Source organism: Homo sapiens, chromosome 2 (genome assembly GCF_000001405.40).
Source record: "Homo sapiens chromosome 2, GRCh38.p14 Primary Assembly".
Lineage (NCBI taxonomy): Eukaryota > Metazoa > Chordata > Mammalia > Primates > Hominidae > Homo > Homo sapiens.
The window spans coordinates 171,816,180-171,828,414 of NC_000002.12; the positions used below are offsets into that span (position 1 = coordinate 171,816,180).

Sequence of the window (12,235 nt, forward strand, 5' to 3'; positions counted from 1 at the left end):
CTCAGCCTCCGAAGTAGCTAGGACTACAGGTGCATGCCACCATGCCCAGCTAATTTTTAAATTTTTTGTAGAGATGGGGTCTGTTTATGTTGCCCAGGCTGGTCTCAAACTCTTGAGCTCAAGCTATTCTCCCACCTCAACCTCCCAAAGTGCTGGGATTACAGGCATAAGCCACCTCACCTGGCACAAAAATATTCCTGATACTACTTTCAAATACCAAAATCCATGGATGCTCATGTCCCTTATCTAAAATAGTGTAGTATTTTCACATAACCTATGCACATCCTCTTGTATTCTTTAAATCATCTCTACATTACTTCTAATACCTAATATAAGGTAAATAAGATGTAAATAGTTGTTATACTGTATTTTTAAATTTTGTATTTTTTTATTGTTGTAGTGTTATTTTTTATTGTTTGTTTTTTCCCAAATATTTTCCATCCACAGTTGGCTGAATCCAAGGACATGAAACTCAAGCAGATGGAGGGCCCACTATATTGAATATGCTTCAGTATAATTAACTGAATATGCTTCAATGAGTTTCTAAAATGTTGATTAACCAGTTAATTCTGATACTTTGTTTCAAAGACAACAGTTGAAAACATATACACAATCTGTCCTTTCAAGGCAATGATGATATTTAATCTCATATACTTTGAAGGAATTCAAGTTATGGCATTGCTACAGATTCACTGCTTGTGACTCCCCAAAATTCATGTGTTGAGACCCTACTGCCCAATGTGATTGTATGTGATGTGAAGGTGGCAACTTTGGGTGGTAATTAGGTCATGAAAATGGAGCCCTCATGATAGGATTAGTGCCATTATAAGAAAAGACACAAGAAAGACGACCTCCCTCTATCTCTCCCTCTTATAACAAGGATATAACAAGCAGCCTGCTGTCTACAGACTAGGAATAGGGCCCTCACCAGTAACTGAATCGGCCAGCACCTTGATCTTGTACTTTCTAGCCTCTAGAACTATGAGAAATAAATGTTTGCTATCTAAACCACCTATGGTAATTTGTAATAGGAGTCCAAACAAAGACAGGCATTTTAGCTCACATTTTAAAATCAATATAGCTATTATGCTACCTACTAAACACATTGGCATACGTTTTTAACTTCTTTAAAAATGCACTGGGCCAGCACAGTGGCTCATACCTGTAATCTGAGCATTTTGGGAGGCCAAGGTGGGCGGATCACTTGAGTTCAGGAGTTCAAGACCAGCTTGGCCAACATGGTGAAACCCTCTCTCTACTAAAAATACAAAAATTAGTCAGGTATAGTGGCAGGTGCCTATAATCCCAGCTACTTGGGAGGCTGAAGTGGGAGCATCACTTGGACCTGGAGGTGGAGGTTGCTGTGAGCTGAGATCACATCACTGCACTCCAGCCTGAGTGACAGAGCAAGACTCTGCCTCAAAAAAAAAAAAAAAAAAAAAAATGTATGTAGAATGTTATTTCCCCCACTTAGAGTTTCTCAATCACAAAACTGGATGAAAATAAATTTCATTCTCATAGATTATGAATTATTTTCAATCATGTATCCTTTCAAAAGAATATGTTGAATTAAAACTCACAGAATAAAAAGCCTATGATCCTAAATAAGCATCAAGTAACCACTAATACCCTTATTCATATAAAAGGTTTCTCCTGTATTCAACTGCATATATTTTTCTGTATACTTTCTTCCTTTAAAGAATGTTTATAAGCCCTACAAAATCCTATGAAAACTGAAGGATTATACTGTGCTTTAATTCTTTGCTAAAAACATTTCTAACTATAAATACCCAAATGCCTTTTGACAGAAATGTCACCTTCACCCTTATTAAATAACATTTAAAAGAAAACATACAATATATGGTTAGCAACATTTTTTTAAGGCTTAGTTATCACTTATGGCTCACTTGTATTCAGGTATGTAAATTAATGTAATTAATGCTATGGATTTCACTTCATGAATATTCATAAATGAAATGCTACCGCTGTCATCCCTATTAATGACTGTGTCCTGAATTTTTAGCATTTAGGCTGAAGGAAAACACTCAGCACTAAGAAGATTGCCTGCCGTGAGCAAATGGGCCAAAGGAAAAGACGCTCTTTCCCTTAAGGTTATGATTATGGTCGTAAAGTTTGATATTTAACAAGGTTAATTAAGTGTTTTTCAAAACAAGAGTTGAGAATCTTAAATGATTTTTAACCTACTCCCTAAGCATATGTGTATGATAGGAAATAAGTTGAGACCTCATTTAAAGAGATGTTCTCTTCATTTTTTTGTTATACGTATCTCATTTTGTAAGTGAGAATTAGGTCTAGTGATGTGGCTCATAGCAGTAATCCCAGCACTTTGGGAGGCTGAGGCAGGCAAGATCACTTGAGCCCAAGAGTTCAAGACCAGCCTGGGCAACATGGTAAAACTCCATCTCTACAACAAATACAAAAGTTAGCCAGGCATGGTAGTACATGCCTGTGGTCCCAGCTACTTGAGAGGCTGAAGTGGAAGGATCACTTGAGCCTGGGAGGTTGAGGCTGCAGTGAGCAGTGATGATGCATTAGATAAGGCAAGATTATGTCAGTTAACAAGTCAAACCTGCCCAAACCACACTGCCAACTCAATAGGGAGAACTACCTCTTTCAAATGACACACTATTAATGGGTAGAATAAAAGGGAGAAATAGCTAAAGTTTTTATATCAAGCATTGGAAGGGGGAAAAAAGGCTAGATTCTATAAAAACAAAAATGTATGACTGGAATGGCAAAATAAGGCTAGAGAAAACAAAACAAAATTTTTCTGTCTGCAAACTACATCTATGACTTCAATAGTCTGGGATTTGAATTCAATATTCTTGGCCTTAAAAAGTAAGATTAAAACCTAAAGCCATGACAGTATAGGAGAAGGAGATGAAGGAAAAATATATATATACATAAAATATATATATAATATATAATACATATTATATATAAATATAAAATATATGATATATAATACGTATTATATATGTATAATACGTATTATATATTAATATATAATATATAATACATATTATATATGTATATAATATATACTAATATATATAATGTATACATTATATATTTACATAATATATAATACATAATATAGAATTATAATTATATATAATACATAATATATAATTATATATATTATTATATATGTATTTATATTATATATAATATATTATATATAATATATATTATATAATTATATAAGTATATAATTATGTTATATACATAATAATATATAATATATAATACTTATTATATATTATATATATTAATATATATATAATTTTCCCCTGAATGCTAAACAATACATATTTTTCTCTCAGCAAAAAGGGAGTTAAGTTGTGTTAAAGACTATAGTTAAGTCTTCAAATCTAATAATTTAAATGAGTTAAATTTAAATGAGTTAAATGACTAATAAATAATAGCTAATAATAGACTAATAAATAAACCTAACTTTCTTTTTGAGAACAGACTTCCATTTGTGGTAAAATATCACAGGTGAAAGAGGTAAAATGTTCCAAAAAAAGGAATTCCTAAATGGACAGTAATGTCTTCCTATATGTGCTCATGAATCCAAAATTCAAAGAAGGTCCACAGAAATGCAAATTACACAAAGAAAACAAAGTCCTATGTCTAAGGAACGCTATACACAAAATAAAGATAAAAGTAATTCTAATATGCAGCCATAAAAAAGAATGAGATCCTGTCTTTTGCAGGGACATGGATGGAGCTGGAGGCCACCATCCTTAGCAAACTAACACAGGAACAGAAAGCCAAATACCGTATGTTCTCACTTATAAGTGGGAGCTAAGTGATAAGAGCTTATTATGAACACAAAGAAGGAAACAACGGACACTGGGGTCTACTTGAGGGAGGACTGGAGGAGAAAGGAGAGGAGCAGAAAAGATAACTATCGGGTACTGGGCTTAATACCTGGGTGATGGAATACTATGTACAAAAAAACCCCATGACACGTTTACCTATGTAACAAACCTTCACATGTACCCCCAAACTTAAAAGTTAAAATAATAATTCTTAATAATTCTAATGATGTTTTGACAGAACACAATCCAGCTTATATTCCATAGTTTTTTTAGTGAGTGGCCTATAGCTTTAATATAATTTCCCATAGAAACAAAACTTTTTTAAAGAAAGTACATATATACCCAAGCAGGTCTATCACAGATCATTTATCCCATACAGTTGAAAAAAGTAATTATGTAATATACAGTAAAGAAAAAGAGGCCGGGCGCGGTGGCTCACGCCTGTAATCCCAACACTTTGGGAGGCCGAGGCGGGCGGATCACGAGGTCAGGAGATCGAGACCATGCCGGCTAAAACGGTGAAACCCCGTCTCTACTAAAAATACAAAAAATTAGCCGGGCGCAGTGGCGGGCGCCTGTAGTCCCAGCTGCTTGGGAGGCTGAGGCAGGAGAATGGCGTGAACCCGGGAGGCGGAGCTTGCAGTGAGCCGAGATCCCGCCACTGCACTCCAGCCTGGGCGACAGAGCGAGACTCCGTCTCAAAAAAAAAAAAAAAAAGAAAAAGAGAAGGTTTGTTTTCCCATTTTCACATAGGACCAAAATTGGTCTATAACCTGGTTTTAATATCCAAACTGTTACATGCTTCAAAAATATACATCCTCTTCTTTCTGCAACCCACCTCCTCTTTTATCTCACTTCCCTCAAATCAAAATTTCCATTTCTCTCACTGTAGGTCATCTTAATAGCACAACATATTTATCCGTTCTACTGTTGGTGAGTATTTAGATTCCAATATTTTTGCAACTGCAAATAACGCAGCTATAAACATTCTTTTTTTTTTTTTTTTTTTTTTTTTTTTTTGAGACAGCGTCTCCCTCTGTTGCCCAGGCTAAAGTGCAGTGGCGCATTCCTGGCTCACTGCAACCTCTACCTCCTGGGTTCAAGCAATTCTCGTGCCTCAGCCTCCCGAGCAGCTGGGACTATAGGTGTGCACCACTATGCCTGGCTAAATTTTTTGTATTTTTTGTAGAGATGGGGATTCATCATGTTAGACTCCTGACCTCAAGTGATCCACCCACCTCAGCTTCCCAAAGTGCTGGGATTACAGGTGTGAGCCACCACACCCGGCCTAAACTTTCTTGTACATATCTCTTAACACACATGTGTAAACATTTTTGTTAGGGACTACACCCAGGAGAGGAACCAACAGGTCACGGGGTATGTGTTTCTTCAACTGCAGTGGTACTGACAAATAGTTGCCAAAGTTGTGATGCTAGCAATTTCCATTCCTTCACCTCTTGAACAACACTTGCCATTGTCAGAGTATAATTTTGATCAATCTGGATAGTATAAAATAGCATCCCATTGCAGTTTTAATGTGTGTTTTCTTGTACTAATGATATTAAACTTTTCTATTATTTTTCCTTACCATTTGGATATCCTCTTTTGTGAGGTTTCTGTTCAGGTATTTAGCCAATTTTTCTATTGCATTGCCTGCCTTTTGCTTATAAATTTGCACAAGTTTATTATACTATATATTCTGGATACAGATCCTCTATTATTTAAATTATTGCAAATATCTCTGCCTATTGTGTAACTTGTCTTTTCACACTCTTAGTGGTATATTTTGATAAAAGTTCTTAAATCTAATGAAGTTTAACTTATTAATCTTTTTCTTTATGACTGGTGTTCTGTACTATTCACAAAATCTCTGCCTATCTCCAGATCATAAATAGAATATCTTGTGTTATCCTCTTTAATCTTTCACATTTAGGAACAGGAAAAGACTTTTGTGTATGGTATGGGGTAGTGATTTTTTTTCCTTGTTGAATATCCATCATTAATTAAAAATTTTTAAAAACAGGCCTGGTAAAATTTCAGCCAGCATCAAAAAATTAAAATATAAAACATTTCAGGCACTTAAAAAATACAAAGATATATTAATACTTTTTCCTCACTTCCCATCCCCTTCTACCTAATGGAAGTAGATGAGGGTAGATTAAGCAGTTGTGTCACATATATGTTTCAGCCCATCTTGGAGTTTGCTTATATGGGCTTCTCATATTTGATAACAGTAATAAGCACAATAATAGCAGTTAACATTTATTGCATGCTTAGCAGGTGTCAGGCTTAATGTAAGTGTATTATTACTCATGTAATTCCCATAACAATCCTATAAAGATGCATACTGCTATCCCTATTTATTTATTTATTTGAGACAGGGTCTCACTCTGTCACTCAGGCTGGAGTGCAGTAGTGTGATCACAGCTGACTGCAGCCTCAAATTCCTGGGCTCAAGCAATCCTCCCACCTCTGTCTCCCAAATAGCTGAGACTACAGGTGCATACTACCATGCCTGGCTAATTTTTTGTATGTTTTTTTAGAGACAGGGTTTCATCATATTGCCCAGGCTGGTCTCAAACTCCTGGGCTCAAAACAACCTGCCCGCCTTGGCCTCTCAAAGTGCTGGAATTACAGGCACAAGCCACTGTGCCTGGCATACTGTCCCTATTTAATAAATGAGGAAACAGAATGAGAGGATGTTACATAATCAGTGGCCAGGCTCTTAACTACTCTCTCCCTCATAACTTCTAGTTCTGGACTCACAGATTCTCCATCATAAACAAGTGTTTTCATAACAACTTTCATAAGGTGAGATAACAAGACATATATCCTTCTTCCTATTTTATATTTAGGTTTCTAATAGATTCATATAAGGGAATACTCTGCATAATAAATGTAAGTAATTATGTACTTCTAATTTGGCAATATAGGAAAAATTACAAGAGAATCAAATCAAGATATCTTCTGGAAGTAACATGGGAATAGTTAAGGTTAGCATTACTGAAATTCTGTGAACTAAAGAATGTTAAAAACTGAGTCACTAGGATTGTAGTCTATATGGCTGCCTTACAATGCCTCATAAACCTGAAATATGTTAACTGAGGAATGTTTTTTCAAGGCTGAAAATTGAAGAAAGTTTATTCCATTACTTTGGTTGCTATAAGAACTTAAGCATATTTTCATATTATTCTACTTGAGTCCAGCCTGTATTCCTTATAAAATTTTAAATGTTACAAAGGAAAAAGGAGGATAAATTTAGAATTCTGAAAATAAAATCCATTGATACATACCATTCTACAGAATGCAGGAGCTTGAAGGCTTCTCAGAAATACATGAAGATACTCACTTTATTAAAGGGAAAACTGAGTCCCAAATAAACTTGTATCAAATCTCAAGGACAGTAAAGATCAGATTTCACAATGGCCATTAGTGGACATTAATCTGAATCCTTAACCTTCACAAATCTGTTTCTATAAAATTCTAATAATTATTTATTATTTCTGTTGAGTTCTATTTTCTCAGATTTTGTTCCTATAATAATGTACAGGAAAATATACACTTAAGACCTTAATTTTTATTTCTCTGTACCTAATCCTCAGTAGAAAGACTATCTTCTATGTGAGAGGAAACATCAAACATTTTAGCTGAGTGCAGTGGCTCACACACACTGTAATCCCAGCACTTTGGGAGGCCAAGATCAGTGGATTAATGTAAGCTTAGGAGTTTGAGACCAGCCTGGGAAACATGGCTTAACCCTGTCTCTACTGAAAACAAATTAGCTGAGCATGGTGGTGTATGCCTACAGTCCCAGCTATTCAGGAGGCTGAGGTGGAAGGATCACCTGAGCCGGGGAGGTCAGGACTGCAGTGAACAGTGATTGTGCCTGGCTGACAGAGTGAGACCCTGTCTCCACAAAAAAAAAAAAAAATTGTCCTGAGACTCTGAGGTTCTTCCTTTGGGGACAATGTAAGAATACCTAAGACTTCTACCAGCTCTCCAGAAATTCTAGATCCCTGTACTATCTCACTGGTTAAGGAAAGGCAGAGAAAGCACTCCCCATCACTCTGGATACCAATCAGAGACCCAGGGAAGAAGAAAATGGTGGTTTTTATCACTGCCCATTTCCTAAATATCTGAAAAGACCCTTGAGGCCACCCATCCCAGCATAAAAGCATCAGCGCTGCCACTGAAGACAGGCAAATCATCTTGAATCTGTCTTAAAAAGAATTCACAGCAGTAGCAAAATTACATCACTTTCCTAAGGATGAAGAAATGTGAAGGATGCAGACTCAGGGTGCCAAAGATTGCAAAACAAGCTTCAGATATGGCCTCTAGGAAAATTGCTAGGGGCAAGAGAGGTGGGTGAATAGAAAAGTAAGCAGCAGAAAAACTGAGGAGGAGAAATGAGTTGAGACTTTTAAATTCAATGTTTTTAATAAGCTAAATGAAATATTCCCCAATTACAAATATTAAGGAAACCTCCAGGGAGAGCTATATCAATAGACACATGCAACACTGCAAAATATCTTCTTTTGAAATGCAATTTTTCAAAATTCAAGAGCAAATTTTCACAGATGTATAGGCTACAAAAAATAAAATTAAATTCAGTAAGAGCTCTTTAAATATTTCAATGTCTCTTAATTTTATTAAAAATTTTTCACATTCTTTCCTTTTATTAAACATAATTTTATAAAATTTTATTTTTTTAAAATCACTGAATTGAAATAAATCCATCTATTTTTAAAGGATCTGAGACCTCCTAATGGAAATAAACTTTTTTCTTTTTTTTTTTAAGACAGAGTCTCACTCTGTTGCCCAAGCTGGAGTGTAGTAGCACAGTCACGCTCACTGCAACCTCAACTTCCTGGGCTCAGGTGATTCTCCCTCCTCAGCCTCCCAAGTAGCTAGGACTACAGGCACACGCCATCACGCCTGGCTAATTTTTTGCATTTTTTTTTTGTAGAGATGGGGTTTTGCCATGTTGCCCAGGCTGGTCTGGAACTTCTGGGCTCAAGCAATCTGCCTGCCTCAGGCTCCCAAATTGCTGGCATTACAGGCATAAGCCACTGTACCCAGCCTGGAAATAAACTTTGATGGCAGCAGATAAAAGAGTTTTTCTGATACAAAAGAAGCTAAATTGCAATGAGTTACAACATATTTTAATCTGTAGGAAGCTTTATTACACATCAAGCAAACAGTTAAAGTATTAATACAAAATGCAGATATAATGGTTTCTTTTCCATTTTCAATTTACTTCAACCTGACTACAAAATGTTCTTGTTCCTTATGTAAAGTAGAACTGTAAATTCTAATTAGTTTCACAGGCAGAATCATCATTCCATGGAGCTCAAGTAGAAGAAAGGTTTCCTAACCAAGTCTTCCCAAAGCGAACTACACTTAAACATATCTTGATGTTTCATTAACACATTTGGTGAAGGTGAACAATAACAGCAAGCCAACCCTGGCTACTCACCAATGTGGCAGCAATGAAGAAAGAGCAGACATAGCCTCTTTCTATAGCATGCACATTTAGTAACTGTCTCTCTCTCTCTCTCTCTCTGTATCCTGTCTTCTTTATCCATGCCCTCCCCACGTCGCCTTGCCTAGTATGGCATCACACTCTCCTAGAGAATTATGAGGAACACAGGTTCCATGTCTATTAGAGCAGGAAAGTACCAGGAGGACAATGACTGGCCCTCCTAACCCTTACCCACACACAAAAGCAATGTGATCATCTGCTACCACTGAAACTTCCTAAGTGCTATAGAAGTGGAAGTTTCAACTTAAAACGAGATTTATTAAAAACTGTTCCATTCCACTCTTCAAGGTAATTTCATGGATTTTCTTTTTCTTACCAAGATAGTATTTGTAAAATCAGAAATGGGATTGTATTAATTTTATAGGACTCAGAAGCTACTGTTTTAATCATTCTTAACATTTATAAAAACCAAAAGTAATATTTATCAAAAATGTAATTAACAGTCAGGGTTTTCTTTCTGGTTTCACTAATTACTTTTTTTTTCCTGGCTGTAATCTGTAAGGCACAATCCCAGTGAATGATTTATTTAATTTGAGGGAAGTTTTTTAATTTTAGAAACCCTATAAATATCAGTTTAATGATACAAAGTAAACCTAACACTAATCTTTAAATGTGACGAGGCAAATGAAAAGAATGCTAATTCTAAGGGGAACGGGGTCAAACCCATGTATGTTTGAACTCTTATTTTCCTTATCTGAACAAAACAAAAAACAAAACACAAATATAAATCTAGTTATCTCATAAAAATATTCTATAGGCTGGGTGTGGTGGCTCATGCCTGTAATCCCAGCACTTTGGGAGGCCGAGGCAGGTGGATCACCTGAGGTCACGAGTTCAAGACCAGCCTGCCCAACATGGCAAAACCTTGTCTCTACTAAAAATACAAAAATTAGCCAGTTGTGGTGGTGCACGCCTGTAATCCCAATTACTCGGGGAGGCTGAGGCAGGAGAATCTCTTGAACCCAGAAGGCAGAGGTTGCAGTAAGCCGAGATCACGCCATTGCACTCCAGCCTGGGCAACACAGCCAGACTCCATCTCAAAAAATATATATATATTCTATAAAAGTGGGGGTAACAGTAGTTCTATAAAGGTAATCTTTAAGCTAAGTAAAGTCTTTCTCTGGAAAGTAATTTTTAATTTTTACAGCATTCAGAAGCTGTCAGCTCCTATTTAGTCTACTAGTTCAGCATTTTTTTAAGGTGATCATATTTATGAGATTACTCATACCTGTCTCTGAAGTTCTGCCAGGTTGTAAGGTAAGGCCCCCTCAGCCAATGGGGCTATTCTCTCAATATCTGCCAAAGTCAAGCGCCTTCAGGAAAAATATAGGAAAGAATTGTTAGACACTGACAAACTCCTCACGCCAAAATCATCTTTTCTCAAAAAAAAAAACAAAAAACAGTGAACTATAGTTTAAAATCATTACTTCCCTATTTACACAGATCATTTTAGTGAAATAAAAACCTTTTAACTCTGTTTTCATCAACAAAAAGCAAAAGACTCCAGAGAAATAATGTGGAGTGCATGAATTTGGTAAGACTCCAGTGATAGATATTAAAATCAAATAATTATTGCCAGAAGCAAAAGTATAGAGATTGACTGTCCCTACCCACTAAATGTGTCCCCAAGGATACCTATCTAAAGGACAGGCGCAAAGTATCTGGGAAGGATACACATAAATCTGATAAATACTGGTTGCCTCGAAGGAAAGGAACAAGGGTATGAGGGAGACTTTTTTTTTTTTTCCAACGATATGTTCTTTCCAACCCTTTGAGTTTTGACCCATTTTTAGGCAGGAGAATAGGGTCTGGAGACAGGCAGCCTTCACTTCAGCCTCTGATTGGTCATGGGCCAAGTCTTCATTTGCGTAGGATGTAACTTCAGCCTCTGATTGGTTGTAGGCTGAGCCTTCACTTCAGCCTCCAATTGATCACGGGCTGAGCCTTCACTTCAGCCTCCGATTGGTTGTGGGCCAAGTCTTCATTTATATAGGGTGTAACCGATAGGAAACCTCTAATGGGTACTTAAACCCCGGAAGATTTGCAACTAGGGCTCTTGAGCTGCTTGCTCAAGCCTGCTCCTGATCTGTGGAGTATACTTTTGCTTCAATACATCTATGCTTTTGTCTTCTATTGCTTTGTTTGTGCGTTTTGTCCAATTCTTTGTTCAATATGCCAAGAAACTGGACAACTTGTAGTCAAGACCCTCCACTGGTAACATATCTTGGCAAGTCAGCCAGGAGGTAAGCCCAAATTTGGGGATTTATTTTTCTTTGCTTTGCTTTTGCTCTTTTTCTTTTCCTCTCTATTGAGCCTTCATTTGCGGGCACAGGCTAGAGCTATCTCCATGCAGAGCTCCCTACACTCCACAGAGGGGAACCCTTTCTGCTCTCTTTCCCTTTTCCAACACGGGACCCTCCACAGACAGCATCTAAGCATGAAGGCAACTGCAGGTCTCTGGCCAGGTCCACTCTCCCGGGAGACTGAAAGGTATCCATGTGGAAGCACCTGACCACCATTGCCTGGTTTGGGTGAGGGACCTGAGTCCTTTTCTTTTTTTCAGTCTTTCAGAGGCTGTTTCCTAGTAGATCCTTGGTAATTGAGGGCAACTAGCCAGAGCCACTCTCTGGTGTTACCTGAAGGCCAAGAAGTGAATGGGGATAGCTGCCCTGCCCAGAATGGGGAAGTACTCTTTTCTATCTTTCCTAGTTAAAGTCCCTAATCCCTACATGTGACGAAATTGGCAGTGGCAGCTCTTCCAGAACAAACTCACAGATGTTTCAGTCAACTTAAGCCCTCTTTTCTTATGTCAAATTCTCCTAAAGAGTTAGCTTGTAATGGCAAA

The 12,235-nt window shown here is 37.0% G+C and overlaps 1 protein-coding gene across 3 annotated transcripts in view; it reads right to left on the minus strand.

Annotated features, from left to right (window-relative positions):
- Positions 1–12,235, minus strand: part of SLC25A12 (solute carrier family 25 member 12) — a 110,840-nt gene that overhangs the window by 32,775 nt on the left and 65,830 nt on the right. For all 3 annotated transcript variants that reach the window (NR_047549.2, NM_003705.5, XM_047446142.1), the window contains one exon: positions 10,619–10,703. Coding sequence is in view for 2 of the 3 variants with exons in the window: in NM_003705.5 (NP_003696.2) it covers positions 10,619–10,703 (85 nt within the window). In the remaining variant the exon portion in view is untranslated. The remainder of the gene's footprint in view (positions 1–10,618; positions 10,704–12,235) is intronic.